This window comes from Homo sapiens, chromosome 1 (assembly GCF_000001405.40).
Source record: "Homo sapiens chromosome 1, GRCh38.p14 Primary Assembly".
NCBI classification, from domain to species: Eukaryota; Metazoa; Chordata; class Mammalia; order Primates; family Hominidae; genus Homo; species Homo sapiens.
In genome coordinates this window covers 23191895-23219382 of record NC_000001.11, presented here as the reverse complement: position 1 = coordinate 23219382, position 27488 = coordinate 23191895, and the positions used below count along the sequence as shown (strand labels likewise).

The 27488-nt window shown below is 49.4% G+C and overlaps 1 protein-coding gene across 1 annotated transcript; it reads left to right on the top strand.

Moving 5' to 3' along the window:
- The first annotated feature begins 1880 nt into the window (after positions 1-1880).
- On the top strand, positions 1881-27488 carry HTR1D (5-hydroxytryptamine receptor 1D). Its single transcript, NM_000864.5, has 2 exons — positions 1881-2092; positions 24382-27488. The coding sequence occupies exon 2, from the start codon at positions 25164-25166 to the stop codon at positions 26295-26297; it is 1134 nt and encodes a 377-aa protein (NP_000855.1). The 5' UTR covers positions 1881-2092; positions 24382-25163; the 3' UTR covers positions 26298-27488.

The following is a 27488-nucleotide window of genomic DNA, read 5'->3' as shown; positions in this document are numbered from 1 at the left end:
TGTAGGCTCCAGGCCAATCATCAAATGGTAAACCAAGAGGGTGGGGCATGAAGAAAGGAGGGGAGGGCTAGGTTTGTAGAGAGTTATGTGGAGACAGAAGGACACAGAAGGACACAGAATAGAAAGTCTAGATGAGCTGCTGAGTTTTGGGTGTGCCAGATGTCCAACAGCTGTGTGGGCTGCGAATAAACCAATGCCGGCAGGTGCTGCTGGCCTCTCCCTACACCCAGTGAAGGAGACTTCAAGACAAAGAATGTTACCAGGGACAGAGGGTCATTTCGTAATGATAAAAGGGTCAATTCATCAAGAAGAAATAACAGGGTTGGCCACAGTGGCTTACACCTGTAATCTCAGCACTTTGGGAGGCCAAGGCGGGAGGATCACTTGAGCCCAGGAGTTTGAAACCAGCCTGAACAACATAGCAAGACCCCGTCTCTAAAAAACAAACAAACAAACAAAAACAAAAAACAAACAAACATAACATAACAATCTTAATGCCCCTAACTAATAACAGGCTTCAAAACACATGAAGAACAAGCAGATAAAGACCCAGTAAGGAGCTGAGCGCAGTGGCTCATGCCTGTAATCCCAGCACTATGGGAGGCCGAGGCGGGCGGATCACGAGGTCAGAAGATGCAGACCATCCTGGCTAATACGGTGAAACCCCGTCTCTATTAAAAATACAAAAAATTAGCCGGGCAGGTGGCACGCTTCTGTAGTCCCAGCTACTCAGGAGGCTGAGGCAGGAGAATCGCTTGAACCCGGGAGGCGGAGGTGGCAGTGAGCCGAGATCGCGCCACTGCGCTCCAGCCTGGGCGACAGAGCAAGACTCCGTCTCCAAACCAACCAACCAACCAACCAACCAACCAACCAAAAAACCGGTAAGGACACAGAAGGCAAGGCCAGTTCCTCATGAGCTGCGAGAAACCTGGACACAAGCCATGGCCGGTGTTCGTGCCTCTTCACTGTCTTCAGTGGAAGCCTCTTGCTGGTCCTGTCTTTGTGCTCAAGTCTTCTCTCTCCCCTGGTTCTCTGCAACCAGGCTGGTTCATCTCAGCATCCCAAACACCTGCTGGGGGCTGGGGGCTGGCACTCGGAATCTGTCCTTTGAAGGATGCTGGGAGCTGTCCCTCCCCTACCTCTCTGACCGCCCCCCCCCCCCGCCCCCTTCCATTCATCCAGCTTGGACACCATCCGGCTCAGGGTCTTTCCCAAGACCCACTCCTTCACCTCCTAACTTTGCTCAAATGCTACTTTTGCAGGGAGGTGCCCCTGAGCCCTCACTTCCACTCCCTACCTTCTTTCTCTGCTTTCTTATCCTCCCTACCCTTTACCTCTATAAATATTTTATGCATTTTGCGTATTAAATGTGTTGTCTCCCCGCAACAGAACGGAAGCTCCCTTAGGTCTACCTCTGTTTTGTTCACTGCTGTATCCCCAGTGCCTAGAACATGCCTGACACAGTAGATCAATCAATATTTGTTAGACGAAGAAAACAAAAATCCAACTAGGAATGAACACCGGGGACCCGGACGGATAGGGGAGGCTGGACTTTCACCAAGTGTCTCTGGGCATGGCCCACCTCCCTGCAGACCCCTACCCCAGAGCCAGCCCACCTGCCCTCCTACAGGTGGGGGCCGGAGAGCGCTGGCCCGGGGCCTTTTCCACCTCCCTTCCGCTGCGCGTACCCACCCCGGGTGCTGGGCGGGGGCTGCTACGAGTCGCAGGCCGGGGCTCGGAGCTCCGGACCATCCCGAGCGGGGAGGCCGGGGGCCAAGCCTTCCTCCGGGCGGGCGGGGGGCCGAGTAGGGAGGGAGCCCGGCGAGGGAGGAGCTGGAGGAGGGAGCAAGGAGGAGCGGCGGGCGCGGGAAGGGGAGCGCGGAGAAGGAGCCGCAGGGCTCTGGGAGAGGCGGAGGCAGGTGCGGGATCGCGAGGGCGCGAGCCGGAAAGGGCCCCGGGGCGGCGGGGCGGGCGGCCCCCGAGTTCGGCGGGGGTCGCGGCGGAGACAAGGCGGCCGCGACGGGGAGACGCCGCGCGAGGAAGTGGATCGGGCGGGTACGCCGGGTGTGCGCACCTGCCCGCCGGGCAGCGGGTAAGCTCTCGGGGCCGCGTCTGCAGCCTGGCCCCAGCGGCCGTCCGCGGGGAACTGAGGCCGGGAGCGGCGCCCCTCCTGGGGCCTCGGGGGCCCGGGGCGTCCCGCCTCTCTGTGCCCTCGGACGGGCGCGCGCCAGGGAGAGGGTCCCGGAGGACCTGCCCGGCCGGAGGGAGGCCACCGGGGGTGGCCGTCCAGAGCCCCGGGAGAAAAGGGAGGACTGAGGCAGCGCCCAGGGAGGCTGCGGGATCCCACGCGCGCGTTGGGGGTGCCCAGCGCCCAGGCGAGAACTGGAGGGGCAGGAAGCACCCCCGGGCCGGGGACCGCGACGCCCCCCGAGGGGCCCCGGGCGCCAAGGGAAGCCGGGCGCTGCCCCCTGCTGGCCAGGTTCGGGCGCGGCGCCGCGGAGGGGCCTCCCCTCTCTGGAGAGAGTTGAAGGGGGTCCGGTGTGGAGCCCCGGCTGGCTCCGGGCTGGGGCTGACCGGCTCTGTGACCTTGGGCAGGTCACTGCATCTCTCCAAGCCTCAGTTTGCACGTCTGTCAAATAGAGGGGCATTCTCTCACTTTGCAGGGTCCCTGGAAATAAGTGAGATCCCCGCTAGATGCTTTTTTTAGAAACTGTAAAGTTCTGTATAAATCCTAGCTAATCACATAATGCCGGAACTGGAAGGGCACTGAGAAATCTGCTTTATTACAAATGGGGAGAGTGGGGAATCCGTCTTGCCCAAGGTCACACTACCAGTAGAAGAATCTAAGACTAAAGTCCCCAGGTCTGGGAAAGTTCGGGATTAAGAGCAGGGCTCTCAGTCAGGGTCCCGGTTGCATTAGCAAACTGGCCTTGGCCACCTACTAGCTGTGTGATCTCAGGAAAGCCCTTACCTTCTTTGAGGTGTGGTTTCCTCCCATATGAAGTGGGGACAACAATTCTCACCCCACAGGCTTACTGTACAAATCTAATGGGATTGTCACTCAGCACAGCCCCTGGCTCCAAACCAGAGCTCAGCCACTAGTGGCCATCATTTCTCTGAGTAGCAGCAGCAGCAACCCCTCCACTCTTCCTTGCAACCAGCTTCCAGTGTTTTCCAGTTGAGCCCGTGGTGTGGGTCTGCGCTGTCCTCTGGATCACACAGCCACTGGCTGGGGTCTCAGCCCTCCTCACAAGGACATTTGGGGACACTTTATCAGCAGCAAGTGAGGCCATTGGGGTAGCCAGCCTTTTTCAGTCTTTAGTCCTGCTCCACTGGTGGGGAGAAGTAGGCAGCCTTTGTCATTGAGACATCCAGGAAGCTGGGACCTAGAGGGTGGCTAGGAGGGAGGGACCAGGCCAGCTGGACTTGACTGGCAGGGGCTAGGGCCTCTACCCCTACAACAACCTCTACAAGCACTTCAGGGCCCTGCTGTCAGACCAAGGCTTTGATCTCATGAACAAGTAAGTCCCAGTGCAGCCCGTGGGTGGGGGATGGAGATCATGTCTCTGCAGCCACAGAAGCCCTGAGCCCTAGTGCTGGCTTCCCAGTCCCAGGCCTGCCTGCTGGCTCACCGCCTTCCAGAACCTAGTACAGGGCCAGAAAAACAGAGATGCTTCCTTAGAGTTTGTCAGTTACCTGATGGATCAATAATGAGGGCGGGACCACTGGCTCATCCCTTCTCTCCTAGGCCACGGATGGATGACTATTCTTTTTGGTGAGAGTAATGTGAATGTGAGCAGAAATACAGATTCTCAGAGTATGGAGTTCCCAGACCTGAGAGGTCTCTTTCATTGCACAGATGTTTCCCGTCTAAGGCCCACAGAGGGGCAGGGGTCAGCCATGTCTTCCAGGAAGCTGAATTCAGCAGACACCACTCAGTCTTTTTGCTTATTTGTTTTTGTTTTTGAGACAGGGTGGTGCTCTGTCACCCAGGCTGGAGTGTAGTGGTGTGATCATGGCTCACTGCAACCTCAACTTCCTGAGTTCAAGTGATCCTCCTGCCTCAGCCTCCCCAGTAGCTGGGACTACAGGCATGCGACTCCATGCCTGGCTAATTTTTGCATTTTTTGTAGAGACAGGGTGTCGCCATGTTGCCCAGGCTGGCCTCGAACTCTTGGGCTCAAAGAATCCACCCTCCTTGGCCTCCCAAAATGCTGGGACTACAGGTATGAGCCATGGAGCCTGGCCTGCTCAGTCTTTCACTGCTCTCAGCAGCAGTTGACACTGCTGACTGTTTCTTCTCCCCAAAACACTCTCTTCTCTGGGCCCCTGTGACTTGACACTGTTACGTTGTTCCCTCATCTTTTTGCGGCTTCATTCTCCTTTCTACAGCCCTTAGATGCTCTGCTCCCCCAGGCCCTCTGCTCCTCTCCTAGTAGACACTCTCTCTGGGTGATCTCACCCACCCCATTGGCTTTAGTTATCACCTCTATGCACATGACTCATACATGTATGCCTCTAGCCCAGATCGCTCCTCAGGCTGTTGACCCACCTATTTATTTTCAGCCAGGCACTGTTCTAGGCTCTGGGGATATAGGGATGAGCTAGACAGGAGGTGTATGTTAGCAGGGCATGGGGCAGGTGGAGGGTGTGTGGGGAAAGATACGCAATAAACAAACAGGCAGAAAATATCAGATCAGGTTAAGTGCTAAAATTAGCATAAACCAGGGTGATGTGGTGGAGGAGGGGAGCTGCTTTATGTTGGCTGGTCAAGGTGTTGCCAAAGGGGTGATATTTAAGACGGGCAGCTGGTAGGAGATGAGGTCAGAGAGACGGCCGGGGTGGCAGCAGATCACGTAGGGCCTTGTAAGCCATGGGAGTTTTGAATTTTATTCAGAGTGAAGTGGGAGCTGTTGGAGAAATGTATTTATTTATGAATGAATGAATGAATGAATGATGACAGAGTCTGGCTTTGTCACCCAGGCTAGAGTGCAGCAGTGCACTCTGGGCTCACTGCAACTTCCACCTTTTGGGCTCAAGACATCCTTCCACCTCAGCCTCCAGAGTAGCTGGGACTACAGGCACGCACCATCATGCCCAGCTAATTTTTGTATTTTTTGTAGAGATGGGGTTTCGCCATGTTGCCCTGGCTGGTCTTGAACTCCTGAGCTCAAGTGATCCTCCTACCTCAGCCTCCCGAAGTGTTGGAATTACAGGCGTGAGCCATTGCACCCAGCCAAAAACTTTAAATGGAGAAGAGGAAATACTGATCTTTCTCCAGGGCCTACTTGAGCCTTACAAGAGAAGTTATTTCCTATTATTTGCCAGTCTACTGTGCTCTGAACACTGGAGTGGGAAGAAAATAGGTAAATCTTCAAGGAACTTCCAGCAGTAGGCAATGAGAGACACAAACAAACCTGGAGTCGGGAGAGGGCTTAAAGGAGAGAGATTTTGCACTCAGTTGTCCAGGGAAGACTTCCTGGAGGAGGTAGCTTTTGAAAAGGACCTCAGAAAGCAGAGAGAGGGGCTGGGTAGCGTGGCTCACACCTGTATCCCACCACTTTGGGAAGCCCAGGTGGGCAAACTGCTGGAGCCCAGGAGTTTGAGATTAGCCTGTGCAACATGATGAGACCCCATCTCTAAAAAACAAACAAAAAAAATTTAGAAAGCAGACAGGAGTACAACAGATATGTATGAAAGGGAATGGGAAAGATTGCTCTTCTAGGCAGATGGAACAGCCTGAACTAAGACATGAATGCCCCAAACATGTTTAGTGAAGACAAGGGAGAGAATACAGAATGTGTAGGGGAGTGAAAGGTCTGGCCTATTAAGAGAAAGACCCTAGACTTTGCCATTGATATGTGAGCCTCTGCTTCCTTATTGTTTTTGTTTTGTTTTGTTTTTAGACGGAGTCTGTCTCTGTCGCCCAGGCTGGAGTGCAATGGTGCGATTTCAGCTCACTGCAACCTCTGTCTCACAGGCTCAAGCGATTCTCCTGCCTCAGCCTCCCAAGTAGCTGGGACTATAGGCGCACACCACCACGCACAGCTAATTTTTGTGTTTTTAGTAGAGACGGGGTTTCACCATGTTGGCCAGGATGGTCTTGATCTGACCTCATGATCCGCCAGCCTCGACCTCCCAACCCTTATTGTTTTTATGAAATAACTGGTTAAGTGCTGGGGAAGAGAGTAAGGAAGAATTCAAAGCTTGGGCTAGGTGTGGAAGAACAGGATAAGGTCTGCTACAAAGGAGGCGCTGGCCAGATATGGTGGTTCACTCCTGTAATCCCAGCACTTTGGGAAGCTGAGGCAGGTGGATTACTTGAGGTCAGGAGTTCGAGACCAGCCTGGCCAACATGGTGAAACCCTGTCTCTACAAAAATACAGAAATTAGCTGGATGTGGTGGCATGCACCTGTAATCCCAGCTGCTTGGGAGGCTGAGGCAGGAGAATCGCTTGAACCCGGGAGGCAGAGGTTGCAGTGAGTGGAGATTGAGCCGCTGTGCTCCAGCCTAGACAACAGAGTGAGACTCCCGTCTTAAGAAAAAAAAAAAAAAGAGGCACTCAGGAGGGCTTGCTGTGAGTGAGGTGGCTTGAGTTTGGAGCCCCTGTGGGACATAAAGGAGGGATGACCAAAGGATATTTGGGGCCAGAGGTACAGAGAGAGGGGTCAAAGAAAGGTGAAACTGTCAGTATTCTTTTTTTATTCATTCTTTGAGTAAATCTCAGCATCTGTAAGTATTAAGCCTAAAATATATAGCTATGAACAAAGCCGTATCCCTGCCTTGGGAATGCACCATCTTATGGGGAGACAGACCACAGGCATTGGACTGCAGGATAATGAGATGTGTATTACAAATCCTAAACGCGAGGCACTGTGTTGGCACAGAGAGAGGCTGGCTCCACTTGGGCAGAAGGAGGAGGACAAGTTTCAGTAAAGAGGGGAGAGTTAAACTTGGTCTTGAGAGTGAAGTTGGAGCTGGATGGTAAGTGAGAGGGATGGGCACCCACACACAGGGCACTGGGCTTCATGGCATGAGTTGCCCCTTCCTTCCAGAATTCAAGTCCAGCAAGGAGACAGGGGTGGGGTAAGCAAGAGATTCCAGTCCAGGGGAGTCCAGTGTGATGTATACATTAGAAGACCAGTGGCGTGGAGAGAAGGGAAGTGATCAGGTCCCTCCCTAGTTACCAGGAAACTTCCCGAGAGGGTGGGGGAGATGAGCAGATAGAGGGAATAGCCTGCGCAGAGACTCAAGGAAGTGACAGAACTGCAGTGTTTTTGCAGCCAAAGGTCTCAGCCAAGAGGTGGGCTGGAGGTGGGGTCTTTTGTTCAGTCCAGGTGAATAGGAGGATGAGAGGAAATGACCGGGCTGTGTGATGTCTGGATAGGTAAACAATAGGAAATGTAGAAAAGGATTTGGGGCTGGGCATGATGATTCACAACTGTAATCTGGTACTTTGGGAGGCTGAGGCAGGAAGATCACTTGAACTTAGGAGTTCAAGATCAGCCTGGGCAACATAGGGAGACCCCATCTCTATAAAAAAATTTTTTTAAAATTTGCCAGGCATGATGGTGCACCTGCAGTTCTAGCAACTTGGGAGGCTGAGGCAGGAGGAAGGCTTGAGCTCAGGAGGTTGAGGCTGCAGTGAGCCATGATCATGCCACTGTACTCCAGCCTAGGCAACAGAGAGAGTGAGCCTGCCTAAAAATAAATAAATAAAAATACATACATACATACATACATACATACATACATACATACATACATACATAAAAAGGATTTGGAGTGTATTGCAGGGAAGAGTTCTCCAAGGTTCAATCCTGTGGAATAGGTATCATTGGACCCAGCTTCTCTTCACTTGCTAATTCCTTGTTTTTAACTCGGGACATGGTATGAAATTTCAGTTTCACTTGTTAATTTTATTTGTCCTCCCACGCTCAGCTTCAAAGCCACTTTCACAGTGAAACCTCAGGGTTGCAGCAGGCTACCTGTCCCCCTACTTTCCTTCCCATAGCTCCCTGCATGCCCCACTGTTATCCTCATCATATCTGTGGTCCTCATTGCAGGATCATTTCCCCAGGGCCATTGTAAGTCCTCCTAAGAGGAGAGTCCACATCTGCATTGCTCATGCCAACATGTGGTAGGCTTTAAGTATATTGTAGTTGAATAGATGAGGAAACAGAGAGGTTGAGTAACTTGCCTAAGGTCACAAAGCTAGAAAAACGGCTGAGCTGACACGTGAGTTCAGTCTACCTGACTCCATAGCTGTATCTAGCTCCAAAGCTTGTGCTCTGAATCACACCTGTATTGTGGCTCCCAAAAGAAAAAGCAGATGATGAATAGCAAGTTTGTATCCTGTAAACACTAACAAATTTGGTGTTTGGTTTCAAGAAAATGAATTCCTGTTGTTAGTACCTTGTTTATCCAGTCTAGAGAAGATAGCTTCTCCTCTGTCCTGGAAATATTCACTCCATCAGCTCAAAGTGTTCTCTGCGGACCCAGGTGTGCAGCATCTGGGGGAGAAGAGAAGAGAGAGGTTGGGCTCCAGTATAGGGGGGATGCAGTTCTAAAGGCTTCTTGCAAAGTATGGTCAGCCCTGCCAGTCGGCTCCCAGGATTACTCACCTGGTGTGGAAACTCAGATGAGAGCTGGGGGGGAGACTTGAAAATGCCAGAAGCATATAGTGTGAAATGGGCCTGAGAGCCTTCTCTCTTTCATCTCAAATTCCTGTTGCAAGCAGGAGCCAGTAGAAGGAGCGCTGGTGGGAGTCTGAAGACTTGGTCTCAGCCTGTAACACACTGTGTTACCTTGAGCAAGTGTCTTGCCCTCTCTGAGCCCAATTCCTGTCAGCATCATGAGGGAGTCGGACTAGATGATTCCTAAGAGTCCTTCCCATCTGACACCCTGATACCCTTCTGAAATCCCAGGGCTGACACTACTGCTACCCCTCACACAACCACCGTGTGGCAGGCATCACCTGAGAGCTTGTCAGAACTGCAGACCTGGCTGGGCGTGGTGGCTCACGCCTATAATCCCAGCATTTTGGGAGGTTGAGGCGAGTGAATCACTTGAGGCCAAGAGTTCGAGACCAGCCTGGCCAACATGGTGAAACCCTGTCTCTATTAAAACTACAAAAATTAGCCGGGCATGGTGGCACATACCTGTAGTCCCAGCTACTAAAGAAACAGAGGCAGGAGGATCACTTGAACCTGGGAGATTGCAGTGAGCCGAGATCACATCATTGCACTCCAGCCTAGGTGACAGAGTGAGACCCTGTCCCAAAACAAACAAGCAAACAAAACCCTGCAGACCCACAGAATCAGAATCCTCATTTTTAATAAGATCCCTAGGTAATGCATGTACACATTCAAGTGTGAGAAGCGCCCAGTCACCACTTCCTTCCCCTTCCTTTGGGTTGTGCCAAGCTGCCGTCACCAGGCCTGTCAGAGAGAGGGCCTGCTCAGGTGATAGTGATGGAGCCTGGCACATCACAGGTACCCAGTACAGATTTCTTGAATGTGTGGGGTAGGTATTTGTGGAAAGAAAGAAGTGGAATTGACTTTACCTGGCACCTTTTATGGATGGTGGAGCATGGAGTCGGGCAAGCCCAGATTCCAATCCTAGATCCACAGTGCCCTATCTCTGGGGTCTTAGGCAAGCCATTTCTCTGAGCCTCACTTTCCTCCCCTGGGAAGTGGGAATAATTGATAATAATAATAGGATTGACTACAGAGGGTTGCGGTCAGACTTAAATGAGTTAATACATGAGAAGCTTAGAACAGTGCCTGGCAGATAGTAAACTCTCAATAAATGTTGGCCACTACTTTACTACTGGGGCCATTATGACCCCTCCTCATCCCCATGCCCACATAGCGCCCTCCCCCCCTACTGTCCCAACCCCCTCCCTGGAAATGCAGTTCCCTGAGGACAGACTCCTGATGTGAGCCCTAGGGAGTAATATCACCTGTACTGAGAGCCACTGCTAGAGCAGGACTGACCAATAGAAATATAACAAGAGTGACAAATGTGATTTTTCAATTTAGGAAATTTCAAAGTAGCCACATTTTTAAAAAGTGAAACTAGGCTGAGTGCGGTAGCTCACGCCTGTAATCCCAGGCACTTTGGGAGGCCGAGGCGGACGGATCACCTGAGGTCAGGATTTGGAGACCAGCCTAGCCAACATGGTGAAACCCTGTCTCTACTAAAAATACAAAAATTAGCCAGGCATGCTGGTGGTGCGCACCTGTAATTTCAGCTACCCAGGAGGCTGAGGCAGGAGAATTGCTTGAACCAGAGAGGAAGAGGTTGCAGTCAGCTGAGATTGTGCCACTTCACTCCAGCCTGGGTGACAGAGCAAGACTGTCTCAAAAAAAAAAAAAAAAAAGTGAAAATTTTATATATTCTATTAACCTACTACACCCAAAATATTACCATTTCAACATGTAACTAATACATTTATTAGTGAGATATTTTATATTCTTTTTTTACATTCTTTTTTTGAACCAGGTACATCTCAGGGGCTACATTTCAAGTGCCCAATGGCCACACATGGCCAATAGTGGCTATTTTATTTCTGAACTTTGGCTCTCAATCCCAGCTGTGCCATATATTACCTGTGTGGCTGGGAGCCAGTCATTTTACCTCTCTGGACCTCAGTTTCTTCGTCTGTAAAATGGGTGCACTAATTCATTTCCCCCACCCCCAGTTAGTAATGATAGGAGCAGTTGGTGATTTTTCTTTTCTTTTCTTTTCTTTTGAGACACCATGCCTGGCTAATTTTTTTTTTCTTTCTTTCTTTTTTTTTTCTTTTGAGATGGGGTTTCGCTCTTGTTGCCCAGGCTAGAGTGCAATGGCATGATCTCGGCTCACTGCAACCTCCGCCTCCTGGGTTCAAGCGATTTTCCTGCCCCAGCCTCCCAAGTAGCTGGGATTACAGGCATGTGCCTCCATGCCCAGCTACTTTTGTATTTTTATTAGAGACAGGGTTTCACCATGTTGGTCAGGCTGGTCTCAAACTCCTGATCTCAGGTGTTCCACCCGCCTCGACCTCCCAAAGTGATGGGATTACAGGCGTGAGCCATCATGCCCAGCCACCTGGCTAATTTTTGTATTTTTTGTAGAGATGGGCTTTTGCCATGTTGCCCAGGCTGGTCTTGAACTCCTGGGCTCAAGCAATCTGCCCACCTCCATCTCCGAAAGTGCTGGGATTCAGGCATGAGCCACCGTGCCTGGCCAGATGGTAAGAATTTAAAACCTCTTTACCCACTTTCCCACAGCATGGGCGAATATAGTGAGTTGTTAACTTCAAAGGCTCTTGCAGGCCGGGTGCAGTGGCTCACGCCTATAATCCCAGCACTTTGGGAGGCCAAGGTGGGCGGATCACCTGAGGTCAAGAGTTCGAGACCAGCCTGACCAACATGGTGAAACCCTGTCTCTACTAAAAACATACAAAATTTAGCAAGGTGTGGTGGTGCATGGTGTAATCCCAGTTACTCAGGAGGCTAAGGCAGGAGAATTGCTTGACCCTGGTGGGCGGAGGTTGCAGTGAGCTGAGATCGCACCACTGTACTCCAGTCTTGGTGACAGAGCAAGACTCCGCCTCAAAAAAAAAAAAAAAAAAAAGAGGCTCTTGCCTTTTAACAGTGTGTTTGGTTGTTTGAGGTGGTCTCTTGCCTGTTGAAGACTTGTAGAGATCCAGTGCAAGGCTGAAAGCAGGAAGGCACTGGGGGCCTCTTATTTCCCTAAGCATTGCAAAGGCCTTGAAAACAGGTTTCACCTGTCTTTGACTTTTTTAAGGTAGCCAAATTGTCAGTGATGAAGATAACTAGGTATCATCCAGGCCAGTGGTTTTTCTTCTTGGTTTTACCTTAGAAGCACTTGAGAAGTTTTCAAAAATCAGTGCCTGGGCTCTGCCCCCTGGAGGGTGAGGCCTAGATATCTGTTGTTGTTTTTAACAGATTTTTTTTTTTTCTTGAGATGGAGTCTCATTCTGTTACCGAGGCTGGAGTGCAGTAGCACGATCTCAGCTCACTGCAACCTCTGCCTCCTGGGTTCAAGCGATTCTCCTGCCTCAGCCTCCTGACTAGCAGGGACTACAGGCACGTACCACCACACACCACACCCAGATAATTTTTGTATTTTTTTTTAGTAGAGACGGGGTTTCTCCATGTTGGCCAGCTGGTCTCGAACTCCTGACCTCAAGTGATCTGCCTGCCTTGGCCTCCCAATGTCCTGAGATTACAGATGTGAGCCACTGTGCCCGGCCTGACTTGTATTTTTAAAGCTCTTCAAGGTAGGTGATTCTGATGCTCACCAAGAGAATCTCTGATCTGGTCCAACTACCTCATTTTCAAGTTGGAGAAACTGAGGCTCGGAGGAGGAACTGACTTATCTTAGGTCACACAGAAAGTTCGCAGCAAAGCCAAGCTAAAGCCCAGGGCCTCTGCCTCTCAGGCGTGTGCTCTGTTCTCAGGGCCCATTCCCCACCAGTTCCTGGAGCCTTTCATAGACAGGTATGGATCCCTTGCTCTGGGCCAGGCGTCAGGGCTATAGGGGTGAATGAGACACTCAAGGAGCTCCTGTTACTGTGTCAGAGTCAGTCTAATATGGTGAGAGCTAGGGTGGCAGGCTCTCAGGAAAGGGGTACCTGAGCCAAGCCGGGCTTGGGGGGAGGTTAGGGAAGGCTTCCTGGGGAGACACCAGAGCCTAGCTCTGAAGGGTGACTTGGAATTAGGTAGCCAGGGGACTGAAGAAAGGACATTTTCCAGTCAGAGGACACAGCAGGGACAAAGGATCAGCAGGAAACAGCACCGGAGCCTGGGGTATGGCAGGAGGGTACTGGCAGAAGAACAGGCAGGTCTGTGCTGCTGGAGTATGCAGTTCACAGCCAGCTATGCTGGGAGATGGGGCTGGAGATGGAAGGAAACACCAGTTCATGAAGAGTCTCTTAAACCAAGCTGTGAAGCCTGGGCTTAATCCCAGGTGCAGTGGGAGCCACTGGAGGATTTTAAGGGAGTGACCTGGTCAGACTGTTAGTTGAAAGGAAGATTCTGGGCCCGGCGCGTTGGCTCACGCCCGTAATCCCAGCACTTTGGGAGGCCGAGGTGGGTGGATCACGAGGTCAGGAGATCGAAACCACGGTGAAACCCCGTCTCTACTAAAAATACAAAAAAATTAGCTGGGTATGGTGGTGGGCATCTGTAGTCCCAGCTACTCGGGAGGCTGAGGCAGGAGAATGGCGTGAACCCAGGAGGCGGAGCTTGCAGTGAGCCGAGATCGCACCACTGCACTGCAGCCTGGGTGACGGAACGAGACTCCATCTCAAAAAAAAAAGAAAGGAAGGAAGATTCTGGGTGGGATATGGTTAGAGAATGGAGAGGAGCCAGGGGTAGAGGCTGGGAGACCATTGAAGCCAAGAAGGATGGTTTCACTCTCCTGAAACAGAACAGTGGCAGTGGGAGTGGAGGGGGAGAGAAGAGTCAAGGCACAGTTAGGTGTGGGCAGTAGAATGGACAGAATCAAGTCATTCAATGAATGGAGAGGCCAGGTGCAGTGGCACACGCCTGTAATCCCAACACTTTGGGAGGCTGAGGAGGGTGGGTCACCTGAGGTCAGGAGTTCGAGACCAGCCTGACCAACTGATGAAACCCCATCTCTACTAAAAATACAAAACTAGCTGGACCTGGTGGCGCATGCCTGTAATCCCAGCTACTCGGGAGGCTGAGGCAGGAGAATCACTTGAACCCGGGAGGCGGAAGTTGCAATGAGCTAAGATAGCGCCATTGCACTCCAGCCTGGGCAACAAGAGTGAAACTGTCTCAAAAACAAAACAAAAACACACACTTAATGAATGAAGGGACTTTATCAATTGGCATTGCTGTGTAACAAGCTACCCTCAAACTCAGTGAATTAAAACAACAGCATTTATTACTACAAATCATGTATTTGGAGGTTGGCTGATTTAATCTGAACTTGGCTGAGTACTTTTTTTTCCCATAGGTTATTGGGGTACAGGTGGTATTTGGTTACATGAATAAGTTCTTTAGAGGTGATTCGTCAGATTTTGGTGCACCCATCACCTAAGCAGCACACACTGCACCCTATTCGTAGTCTTTTATCCCTTTCCCCCTCCCACCCTTCCCCCCAAGTCCCCGAAGTCCATTGTATCATTCTTATGCCTTTGCATCCTCATTGTTTAGTTCCCACATATCAGTGAGAACATACAATGTTTGGTTTTCCATTCCTGAGTTACTTCACTTAGAATATAATAGTCTCCAGTTTCATCCAGGTAGTTGCAAATGCTGTTAATTCAGTCCTTTTTATGACTGGATAGTATTCCATCATATAAATCACAGTTTCTTTATCTACTTGTTGATTGATGGGCATTTGGGTTGGTTCTATGATTTTGCAGTTGCGAATTGTGCTGCTATAAACATGCATGTGCAAGTATCTTTTTTGTATAATGACTTCTTTTCCTCTGGATAGATACCCTTGGCTGGGCATTTCTGCTGATCTTAGCTGGGCTCGCACATGTGTCTGCTGGTTGTGTGAGAGGCTCTGTTCTAGGCCGGGTTTGGCTGGAACAGCTCTGCTCCACGTCCTTGTCTCTCCCTGCAGGGACCAGTGCGCATAGCCCAGGGATGGCAATGACAGAGTGCAAGCAGAAACATGCACAGCCTCTAGAGGACTACATTTGGCACTGGCTTACTGTCACTTCTGCCTCATTCTGTTGGCCATAGCGAGTCCATGCTGAACCCAGAATCAAGGGACAAAAAAAATACTCCTTTTGATGGGGGCAGGGAGAGGTGGCACAGGGCAGTAGAAGCATTGAGCTGAGCTGAGAGGGACACTAAACTGCCATGTGATCTTGGGCAAGTCACCTACCTGTCACTCATGTGACAGTCATGTGACATTGGTGCTGTTATTGTTCGCATTTTCCACATGAAAAAAATGAGTGTGGCCGGGCATGGTGGCTCATGCCTGTAATCCCAGCACTTTGGGAGGCCGAGGCGGGTGGATCACGAGGTCAGGAGATCGAGACCATCCTGGCTAACACGGTGAAACCCCGTCTCTACTAAAAAATACAAAAATTATCCAGGCGTGGTGGCCAGTGCCTGTAGTCCCAGCTACTCGGGAGGCTGAGGCAGGAGAATGGCGTGAACCTGGGAGGCGGAGCTTGCAGTGAGCCGAGATTGTGCCACTGCACTCCAGCCTGGGTGACAGAGTGAGACTCCGTCTCAAAAAAAAAAAAAGAGACTGGGTAACTTATAAAGAAAGAGGCTGAATTGACTCACAGTTCCACATGGCTGCGGAGGCCTCACAATCATGGTGAAAGGCGAAGGAGGAGCAAAGTCATGTCTTACATGGCAGTAGGCAAGCGCTAATTTTTTTTAACATTTTTTTCTAGAGACGGTCTCCCTGTATTGCCCAGGCTGATCTCAAACTCCTAACCTCAAGCAGTCCTTCTGCCTTGGCCTCCCAAAGTGCTGGGATTATAGGTATGAGCCACTGTGCCTGGCCCCGTTCTACTGTAGATGTTTGTTTAGGTAGTTTGCAATTTGGGGTTGTTATGAATAGTGCTGCTGTGAACAATTCTTGCATGTATCTTTTGGTGGACGTACACACATGTTTTTCTTGGATGTACAGCTAGGAATGGAAGTACTGGGCTGGAAGTTTGGTGACTTTTTATTTTCTATGTTTCACAGAGGTTTTTGTTTGTTTGTTTTAAGACAGGGGCTCACTCTGTTGCCCAGGCTAGAGTGCAGTGGTACCATCATAGCTCACTGTAACCTCAAACTCTTGGGCTCAAGCAGTTCTCCCACCTCAGCCTCCCAAGTAGCTAAGACTACAGATGCATGCCACCATGCCTGGCTAATTGTTAAATATTTTGGAGAGATGAGGTCTCGCTATGTTGCTCATGCTGGTCTCAAACTCCTGGCCTCAAGTGATCTCACTTCATCCTCCCAAAGCACTGGGATTACAGGCGTGAGCCACCATGCCCTGCTCATTTTCCAGATTTTATGATTAGAGAAACTGAGGTGCAAGACTGATTTGCTTACACCTCAAGACAGTGATTAGATTTTAAAACTGGCACTCAGATACAGGTAGAAAGAGAGAGCATGAGATGGGGGAGATGCATACACGTACACACACACCCATACCCATGTTAAAACTTTCCAGATTTGGCCGGGCGCGGTGGCTGATGCCTGTAATCCCAGCACTTTGGGAAGCCGAGGTGGGGGATCACCTGAGGTCAGTAGTTCGAGACCAGCCTGGCCAACATTGTGAAACCCCATCCCTACTAAAAATAAAAAAATTAGCCAGGCGTGGTGGCCGGCTACTCCGGAGGCTGAGACAGGAGAATCGCCTGAACCTGGGAGGCGGAGGTAGCATTGAGCCGAGATTGCCCCACTGCACACCAGCCTTGGTGACAGAGTGAGACTCTGTCTCAAAAAAAAAAGAAGAAAGAAACTTTCCAGATTCTTCCCACATGTATTCTATCCAATCCTCATTATATCTCTGGGAGGTAGACTTGATACCCTGATTTTTGCAGAGGAGAAAACTGAGGCTGTAGGAGGTCCCATGCAGGAGAGAGAATGAGATGAAATAACACCTGTGGGTGCATTTTGTAAAATATAAAGCCCTGTCCTGATTTGTGCAGAGTGATTTCTCCATCCAGAGCTCACTCATCTGTGTACACAGCTTCTACAGAAAGAACAGCCACAAATTACTGTGTGGGGGATGTATTCTACTGCAACAAATCTTTTTATCACAGAGCCTTATTTTTTTCTTCCAAAAAGATGAGACTGGCTTCTAAGGACACATTAAACCCATACATCCTTTTTGTTCCTGGCAAGGTTTTATGACTCACTTAGTTAAAGAGCCCTCAGAAAGTGGAGGCAACAGATCTTCCTGCAGGCTGAATGAGCCCTGGATAGGAAGCTTTTGTAAGAGGCCAGCTTTTGCTTTTGTAAGAGGCCAGCTTTTGCTGGCCAGGTGCGGTGGCTCATGCATGTAACCCCAGCACTTTGGGAGGCTCAGACGGGCAGATCCCTTGAGGCCAGGAGTACGAAACCAGCCTGGCCAACATGGTGAAACCCCCTACTAAAAATAGAAAAATTAGTCGGTTGTGGTGGTGCATGCCTGTAATCTCAGCTACACAGGAGGCTGAGGCAGGAGAATAGGTTGAACCTGGGAGGCAAAGGTTGCAGTGAGCTGAGATTGGGTCACTACACTCCAGCCTGGGCAACAGAGTGAGACTCTGTCTCAAAAAACAAACAAACAAACAAAACAACAACAACAACAACAAAAAACCACGAAAAATAAAACAAAAATTAAAAAAACACCTGCTGTGTGCCAGCCACTGTGCTAGGCATGTTCTCCCTACTTCATTGAAGCCGCATCACAATTCTGGGTGAAAGATGTCATTATCCCAATTTACAGATGAGGAAGAAGGGCCCAGGAGGTGAAAGGACTTGGACCCCACAGTAGGGATTGGTTGGTGGGAAGGAACCAAAAGTCCCCTGTCTTGGCTGGGCACAGTGGCTCAGCCTCTAATCCCAGCACTTTGGGAGGCTGAGGCAGGAGGATCACTTGAGCCCAGGAGTTCCATACCAGCCTGGGCAACACAGGAAGACCCCATCTCTACAAAAAAATATTGAAAATTTGCTGGGCATGGTGGCTTGTGTCTGTAGTCCCAGCTACTTGGAGGGCTGAGGTGGAAGGATCACTTGAACCTGGGAGATCGAGGCTGCAGTGAGAGCCATGATCATGCCACTGCACTCCAACCTGGACAACAGAGGAAGTCCCTGCCTCTTAAAATGAAAAAGAAGAAGAAGAAAGTTCCTTGTCTTACTACCATTTCTCAGAGGCTGCTGTGTCCGTGTAAACTGGCTCAGCTGGGAAAACATGAGTTGGTACAAATGAGGTTTCCTGGATAGAAGGTCGCTCATGGACATACAGGGATGGGAAGGAGTATTCCCTGGCCTGGAAGCCTCCTTCATTCTCCTCTCCCAGGACAGGTGGTTCCTCTCCCTCAGCTTCTTTCTCTGCTCCATTCTCCTGCCCCTCTCTACAGACCTGCTTTTTGTTTACCTTTGGCTTTTCTATTCCCCCAAAACCTTCCTTGGCTTTGGTAAAGGCTGCAGCCTGACTCCAGCCTCAGGACCCTTGGCCTGCAGATTTATCTTCCCCCATCTTCTATCCAGCCCAGCTCCCCATGGTCTCCATTCTAAATTCCCAAGAGAGAATCTGATTGGCTCATTTTGGGTCACATGTCCACCCTGGTCCAATCAGCTGTGATCAAAAGTGGTCTCTGGAACAGGCTGGGATTGGGTCATAAGTCTGTCTGTCTGCTTTTCTCTTTCCACCCCTCTTCAGAGATGCCAGAGCTGGGAGAGGCATGGTGTGGCTGGAGTCCATGTGATCTGGACTTCAGGGGAGATGCTGTGGCCTGGAGGTGGAGGTGGGGGCCGAGAAAGGTCCTTGCTTCTGCTGCTGCTGTCATGGCCCCTGGGAAAATGGGTGGGCAGGGAGGAAGCTCCTTGGTATGTCTGGGTTTCTGACAATGGCAGACATCTCTCACCAAAACGGGCAGTGATACTTTGTTTCTGGTGAGGGAAGTGATGTTGTTGCCTGGAGACCTGAATTTGGTTGGATGCACCATAGAGAACCAGAGAAGTCACATTTGTGGTCACCATTTTATTACAAGGCCAGGCACGGTGGCTCAGGTCTATAATCCCAACAGTTTGGGAGGCCAAGGTGAAAGGATCACTTGAGGCCAGGAATTTGAGACCAGCCTGGGCGACACAGGGAGACCCTATCCATAAATAAATAAATAAATAAACAAACAAAAAGAAACCATTGACTATATTGAGCGTTTGGTTTCCATGATATTGACAGTTCTCCCCAAACTCCTGTGAGATTTGGATTATCATCTCCATCACTGAGGCTGTGCAGGCTCAGAGAGGTGAAGTGATTTGCCCAGTGGCCACAGCAAGAAAGCGAAGCAGTAGGAATTGGGAGCTGAGAATGCCTGCTCTTAGCCACTGTATTCCTTCTTTGTTAGCATCATGACAATTGTTCAGGACTCCACTGTTTACAACACAACACATACATGATCTTGCTGGCGCTACTCAATACTCCTTTCGGACAGCAGAGCCAGGCTTTTGTTCCCATTTCACCAAGGAAGTAACTAAGGGTCAAAGAGACTGTGCTTTGCCCATGGTTACCCAGCTGGTCAGTGGCAGAGCTGGGACCAGAGTGCAGATCTTCTGCACTAAAAATTATCAATAGGTATTAATGTATCAATATATTATTGCTGGTGATAGGGTTCTTTTTCATAATATACAAAATAGATTGAGAAAAATTACATATACTACCGAGCACGGTGGCTCATGCCTGTAATCCCAGCACTTTGGGAGGCTGAGGTGGGCAGATCACCTGAGGTCAGGAACTCAACACCAGCCTGGCCAACATGGTGAAACCCCATCTTTACTAAAAATACAAAGATTAGCCAGGCATGGTGGTACGTGCTTGTAGTCCCAGCTACTCAGGAGGCTGAGGTGGGAGGATCACTTGAACCCGGAAGGCGGAGGCTGCAGTGAGCGAAGATTTGCATCACTGCATTCCAGGCTGGGTGACAGAGGAAGACTCCTTCCCCGCCAAGAAAAAGAAAGAAAGAAAGAAAAATCACAAATACATCATTCCCTACAAAGCAGTACAAACACACACACACGAATAACAATTAATATTAATGTACTCACCACCTACTTAAAAAATACAACATCAGGCTGGGCATGGTGGCTGATGCCTATAATCCCAACTTTGGGAGGCCAAGTTGGGAGGATCACTTGAGCCCAGAAGTTCAAGGCTGCAGTGAGCTATGACTGTGCCACTATATCTGGGTGACAGAGCAAGACCCTCTCTCTAAAAAAAAAAAAAAAAAAAAAAAAAAAAAAAAAAAAAAGACCACACATGGCGGCTCACACCTGTAATCCCAGCACTTTAGAAGGCCAAGGTGGGAGAATTGCTTGAGTCCAGGAGTTTGAAGACAAGCCTGGACAACATAGGGAGACCCCACCTCTACAAAAAAATTTAAAAATCACTTGGGAGTGGTAGTGTGTATCTGTGGTCCCAGCTACTCAGGAGGCTGAGGTGGGAGGATCACTTAAGCCCAGGAGGTCAAGACTGCAGTGAGCTGTGATCATGCCCCTGCACTCCAGCCTAGGTGACAGAGTGAGACCCTTTCTCAAAAAGGCCCGGCATGGTGGCTCACGCCTATAATCCCAGCACTTTGGGAGGCCAAGGCAGGCTGGCCAACATGGCGAAACCCCATCTCTACTAAAAAAAAATACAAAAATTAGCCGGGCATGGTGGTACACACCTGTAATCCCAGCTACTTGGGATGCTGAGGCAGGAGAATCGCTTAAACCTGGGAGGTGGAGGTTGCAGTGAGCCGAGATCGTGAAAAGAACATAATTGAAACTTTTAAAACCCTTTATGATTATATTCCTTCTTCCTTTTCCCTCCAGGAGTAACCACTATCCTGAATTTTATATTTATAATTTCTTTGCTTTTCCTTATGGTTTTGCCACATATATTTATCTCCCTAACAGTTTGTTTCTTCTTGCGTGTTTTTGACTTTGGCACTCTGCCTTGTTTGTGACAATCACCATTTTGGTATGTGTAGCTGTGGTTTACTCTGTTTTGCTTCTCTGTAGCCCTCCATCATAGGAATACGCCATATGCTACCATTCTGCTGTTGATGGACGTTTGGTTGTTTTTAGTTGTTTGCTATTTCATGCTACTAGGACCATTCTTGTTGCTGTCTTCTAGTGAACACAGAAGAGTTTCTCTGCCATGCATACCCAGCAGCGGAATTGCTGAATCATGAGGTAGTCATCACATCTTTAGTTTTATGAAATAATACCACATTGTTTGCTTATGAAGTTTCTCCAATTTTTACTCTACTAGTGGTAGAAAATTGCTCTACACTTTTTTTTTTTTTTTTTTTTTTGAGACGGAGTCTCGCTCCATCACCCAGGCTGGAGTGCAGTGGCGCGATCTCGGCTCACTGCAAGCTCCGCCTCCTGGGTTCACGCCATTCTCCTGCCTCAGCCTCCCGAGTAGCTGGGACTACAGGCGCCCACCACTGTGCCCGGCTAATTTTTTTTTTTTTGTATTTTTAGTAGAGACGGGGTTTCACCGTGGTCTTGATCTCCTGACCTCATGATCCTCCTGCCTTGGCCTCCCAAAGTGCTGGGATTACAGGCGTGAGCCATTGCGCCCGGCCCACACTTTTTTTTTTTTTTTAAGAGACAGGATCTCACTGTGCTGCCCAGGCTGATCTTGAACTCCTGGGCTCAAGCAGTCCTCCTGCCTCAGTCTCCCAAGCTCCACACTCTTATTAACTGACATGACATGATCAGATTTAAAATGTTGTACTTTTCTACTAGGTGAAAATGGTATCTTCTTGTCATTTTAATTTTTCTTTCTTTTTTCTTTTGTTTAAAATAGATAGTCTTGCTATGTTGCCCAGGCTGGTCTTGAACTCCTGGGCCCAAGTGATCCTCCCACCTGGGCCTCCCAAAGTGTTGGGATTACTGGCATACGCCACCACACCCAGCCTTCATTGTCATTTTAATTTTTTTTTTTTTTTTTTAGGTAGAGTCTTGCTCTGTCGCCCAGGCTGGAGTGCAATGGTGCAATCTTGGCTCACTGCAACCTCTGCCTCACGGATTCGAGTGATTCTCCTGCCTCAGCCTCCCGAGTAGCTGGGTGCCCACCACCATGCCCAGCTAATTTTTGCATTTTAGTAGAGATGGGGTTTCACCATGTTGGCCAGGCTGGTCTCGACCTCCTGACCTCAGGTGATCCACACGCCTCAGCCTCCCAAAGTGCTGGGATTACAGGTGTGAGCCACCACGCCTGGCCTGTATTTTTTATTTTATTATTTGAAGTGTGACGGGAAAGAGACAGTTGCTTATAGAGCTACAGTCCATGTCTCCAAAGGTAGCTAGATTATGAGAAATTCTCCTACCTTTGTTCACAATGGGGAAGGATAGCAGGCAGGAGGGGAGATAGCCTCTCAATTGTGTTACTTCTTGCAAAGCTACAGCCTAGCCTTCCTAACCAAGTCTGTCTGCTCCTGTCCCTGTGTCCCTGTCCCTTTTCCCAAGATGTTGCTGAGGGCTGGAGGGCTTACACACACACCAGCCCCTTGAGCCTTTCTGAACCCACGCCTTTCACTGAAATTAGGTCACTGGAATGCTTGGAACTCAAGGAGTGACCGCATGAGTTTGTGGGGCAGGCACACCAGGCTTCCTTGGGAAATGACGCACCTCAGTCACCCAGACTGTCTGCAGGGAAGAAAGTTTCAAACGAGCCAACCAGAGTTCACATTTTCCATATGAACCAAAATGGGAGCAAAACTTCAGCCGGAGGCTTTTGGGGTGGAGCCTGGGGCGAGTGGGGGCAGGAGGGGGTCATCACACCAGCTATACACGCGTGCCTTAAGGCTTTTCATCCTCAACTGAGGCAATGTAGGCAAGGGTAGAAATTTCTTGAGAGCTCTGGACCTGGTTTTTCCACTTCCAGCCAGGTGGCCTTGGGCAGGTGACATCACCTCTCTGAGCATTGGTCGGGTCATTATAAGTTGGGAGCCACGTTGCCCACTTTACAGGTTGGATGACTCTTAGCCCCAAAGCTAGCTCAGTGCCTGAAATATAGCAAGAGCTCTTCAAAAGATATTGTTATAATATCCTTTAAACTGTAATATATGTTTTGGAGTTGGTGGCTTAGGATTGGTTTTCTTAAACTGAGGCTTTCCCCTCTCCTCCAGGCAGATTTTTTTTTAATGAAGCACCCACAAATTTGGGGAGTGGGAGGGAAAATACTGCATTGCAGGTTTAGCTGCTGCTCCTTCTTTTTTTTTTTTTTTGGCAGAGTTTCACTCTGGTTGCCCAGGCTAGAGTATAATGGCACGATCTTGACTCACTGCAACCTCCACCTCCTGGGTTCAAGCAATTCCCCTGCCTCAGCCTCCCGAGTAGCTGGGATTACAGGCATGCACCACCACGCATGGCTAATTTTGTTTTTTTAGTAGAGACGGGGTATCTCCATGTTGGTCAGGCTGGTCTCGAACTCCCGACCTCAGGTGATCCACCCACCTCGGCCTCCCAAAGTGCTGGGATTACAGTCAAGAGCCACCGCACCCAGCTGGTGATTGATTTTTAAAACGTTAAGAAGCTAAAGCCGCTCACACCTGTAATCCCAGCACTTTGGGAGGTCAAGGCTGGAGGATCGCTTAAGTCCAGGAGTTTGAGACCAGCCGTGGCAACATAGCAAGACCCTGCCTCTGTGAAAACAAACAAACAAATAAAAAACAATTAGCTGGGCACGGTGGTGTGCACCTGTAATTCCAGCTACTTGGGAGGCTAAGGTTGGAGGGTCACTTGATCCAGGAGGTCGAGGCTGCAGTGAGCTGTGGTCATGCCACCGCACTCTAGCCTGGGGGACAGAGCTAGATCCTATCTCAAAATGAATAAATAAACAAATGATTTTTAAAATTACTGGTTTATTATATAGGATTCAAATGAACAACCAGAAGAAAAGGTACATAGGACAAGGTCTGAAAAAGCTTCAAGGGGCCAGCCACAGTAGTTCATGCCTGTAATCCCAGCACTTTGGGCGGCCGAGGCAGCGGATCATGAGGTCAGGAGTTTGAGACCAGACTGGCCAACATGGTGAAACCCCATCTCTACTAAAAATACAAAAATTAGTTGGGCGTGATGGCATGTGCCTGTAGTCCCAGCTACTTGGGAGACTGAGGCAGGACAATCGCTTGAACCCAGGAGGCAGAGGTTGCAGTGAGCCGAGATTGCGTCACTGCACTCTAGCCTGGCAACAGAGCGAGACTCTGTCTCAAAAAAAAAAAAATTATTCATGCTCACTATAGGACATTTGGAAAATTCAAATGAGTAGAAAAAGGGCCACCCCCCCCCATACTTTGTAGAGAAATACATTGTAACAATTTGGTTTCTTTCCTGATGGCCTTTATCGTTCCCTGTGTACAGTTTTATTTTGTTTCCATTGTTGCTAAATAAATAAAATGATGCTTTCTGATTCACAACTTACAGAGCTGATTTCATGTACTTCTAACAAGCTTGTGATGATTCCAAAAGCTACGACTCTTTGTCCCCTCTGGGAATTGCATGGGTGGGGCACATCACCCTCCCTGTATTCTGATACTTTTTAGAATGCCAGTTTCACAGCACCATGGCCAGCTTTAAGTAGTATCTTTTTAATCATATAGTTCATTTCAGGCTTCCACATTGTCCTTCTAGAACCTAACTCTATTTTTTTTCTTTTTTAAATCCCAGATCTTCTGAATGTGTCCCTGCTCTGTGAGCCCACAGTGATCTGTTTGTTTTGCCTGGTCCCAGCTTATGCATTCTTCGAGTCTTGGTAACCAGGATGTTTTGTCTGTTCAGGCTCTAAAACGATCAGTGGGATAGGAACCGAAGTTAAGTAGCTCAGGATGCGTCAAGATGAACCTGGGAAAACCGCGAGCTGCTGTGCTGACTGGACTGCTTCTCTGAATCGGCTGGAACTTCTTTTTGTGTCTAGTTTTAAAAGCTCCTCAGAAGCAACCCTAAATCCAGAATCGTTTCAATTACTGTGAGGGGAATTCTGAAGTTCTCATTAAACACACGAATGTCTCAAGCTTTGAAAAGAGCCAGATGCCAAAGGCAAGAATCCCAGGGCATTGCCCACCTGGGTGTGATCCCCTGATAATTGTCTAACAAATTCAGCATGTGTCCCCTGGGCATGACCATCTGCTGGGAAAAGTTCCAGGACCCTGAGACATCTTGGGATTCCTGTGGTTTAGGAAAGACCTTTAACTACCAGCTGGTAGTTGTCTCAGCATTCTTCAAATAGTCCGGTCTTGTTTAATATTATTATTATTATTGTTATTTAATTTTATTTTATTGCAACTGTACTTAGAGAATAGTCTGGTCTTGAGACCTTTTCACTGTGGTCTGTTCTGGTGTACGGCTCCCACCAGTGTGAAGCAGAAGGATGACTTTGCTCTGTTGTCAGGACAACCTTGAAGGAAGGAGCCAAATGTGTGGAGGTCTGTGGGAAGAGAGAGCCACCTAGCATGTCCCCACTGAACCAGTCAGCAGAAGGCCTTCCCCAGGAGGCCTCCAACAGATCCCTGAATGCCACAGAAACCTCAGAGGCTTGGGATCCCAGGACCCTCCAGGCGCTCAAGATCTCCCTTGCCGTGGTCCTTTCCGTCATCACACTGGCCACAGTCCTCTCCAATGCCTTTGTACTCACCACCATCTTACTCACCAGGAAGCTCCACACCCCTGCCAACTACCTGATTGGCTCCCTGGCCACCACCGACCTCTTGGTTTCCATCTTGGTAATGCCCATCAGCATCGCCTATACCATCACCCACACCTGGAACTTTGGCCAAATCTTGTGTGACATCTGGCTGTCCTCTGACATCACGTGCTGCACAGCCTCCATCCTGCATCTCTGTGTCATTGCTCTGGACAGGTACTGGGCAATCACAGATGCCCTGGAATACAGTAAACGCAGGACGGCTGGCCACGCGGCCACCATGATCGCCATTGTCTGGGCCATCTCCATCTGCATCTCCATCCCCCCGCTCTTCTGGCGGCAGGCCAAGGCCCAGGAGGAGATGTCGGACTGTCTGGTGAACACCTCTCAGATCTCCTACACCATCTACTCCACCTGTGGGGCCTTCTACATTCCCTCGGTGTTGCTCATCATCCTATATGGCCGGATCTACCGGGCTGCCCGGAACCGCATCCTGAATCCACCCTCACTCTATGGGAAGCGCTTCACCACGGCCCACCTCATCACAGGCTCTGCCGGGTCCTCGCTCTGCTCGCTCAACTCCAGCCTCCATGAGGGGCACTCGCACTCGGCTGGCTCCCCTCTCTTTTTCAACCACGTGAAAATCAAGCTTGCTGACAGTGCCCTGGAACGCAAGAGGATTTCTGCTGCTCGAGAAAGGAAAGCCACTAAAATCCTGGGCATCATTCTGGGGGCCTTTATCATCTGCTGGCTGCCCTTCTTCGTGGTGTCTCTGGTCCTCCCCATCTGCCGGGACTCCTGCTGGATCCACCCGGCGCTCTTTGACTTCTTCACCTGGCTAGGCTATTTAAACTCCCTCATCAATCCAATAATCTACACTGTGTTTAATGAAGAGTTTCGGCAAGCTTTTCAGAAAATTGTCCCTTTCCGGAAGGCCTCCTAGTCTTATTCGGTGATGACTCTTGTTATCTTTTGTGTCCTGTAACCTCATCGGGATTGTCTTTTTTTTTTTTAATTATTTTCTGAGACTTGGATTAATTCATGGTATCTTGAGTCTTGGTTCAATCAACAGAATTGTTCTTTTTCCTGTTGTTTTCTTAACTTCTGAAAGAGCTGTGGGTGGTGGGGGGCGGGGGGCAGGACTGAAGATTTCACTACTTAGCATAATATTTTCTTTCTTTTTTTTTTTTTTTGAGACGGAGTCTTGCCCTCTCGCCAGGCTGGAGTGTAGTGGCACAATCTCAGCTCACTGCAACCTCCGCATCCCGGGTTCAAGAGATTCTGCCTCAGCCTCCAGAGTAGCTGGGACTACAAACGTGTGTCACCAGGCCCAGCTAATTTTTGTATTTTTAATAAAGACGGGGTTTCATCATGTTGGCCAGGGTGGTCTCGATCTCTTGACCTCGTGATCCGCCCGCCTCAGCATCCCAAAGTGCTGGGATTACAGGCATGAGCCACTGTGCCTGGCCAACATAATGTTTTCACAGTTCCTCTTTGTTGGAAGAAGTGTGTGACCTACAAGATTCCTGGTTGATACAGTTCAGGTGAGAAACTGTTTGATTATAGAAAAGACCCCAGACTCAGAGGGAAGGCTCTCTGGTCTACCTGAGATCTATATGGAGCTTAAAGGAGGGTGAATAAGATTAATGACCTGAATTGAAAGAGAATTTGGAGCCAGGATGGGTCTCCATTCTGTGTGGCACCTTGATTGGAAAATAATATCCATGCGTTTCTTCCACTGAGTCTTTCTTAGATTAAATCTCTCCCAGTTGTCCGTGAAGAGAAAGACAGTATTTGCAGTGCCGATGATATAGAGTGACTTGGAGAGAGATTCAGAAGTTAGGGGTAGCGGGGGTAGGATGGTTGGGACCAGATTGACTACCCTGTACCCTTCCTTCTTCCCCAATATGCCTGCGCCATCTTCACATTCTGAAGTTGAAACCCATGATCACCCCTTTGAGGTAGATTGACCGGCTTTAGACGCCCACCCCCCACCCACCGCAAGCTTTGAGTGGGACACCATTCTGAATTTTTTTTCTGAATTTTTTTTTAACATCTCTTTCTCATTAGAGATCTGAAAACTCATTAGAGATGTTGAGTCTTATCAAATAAAAAGCATGAGACATCATGGCCA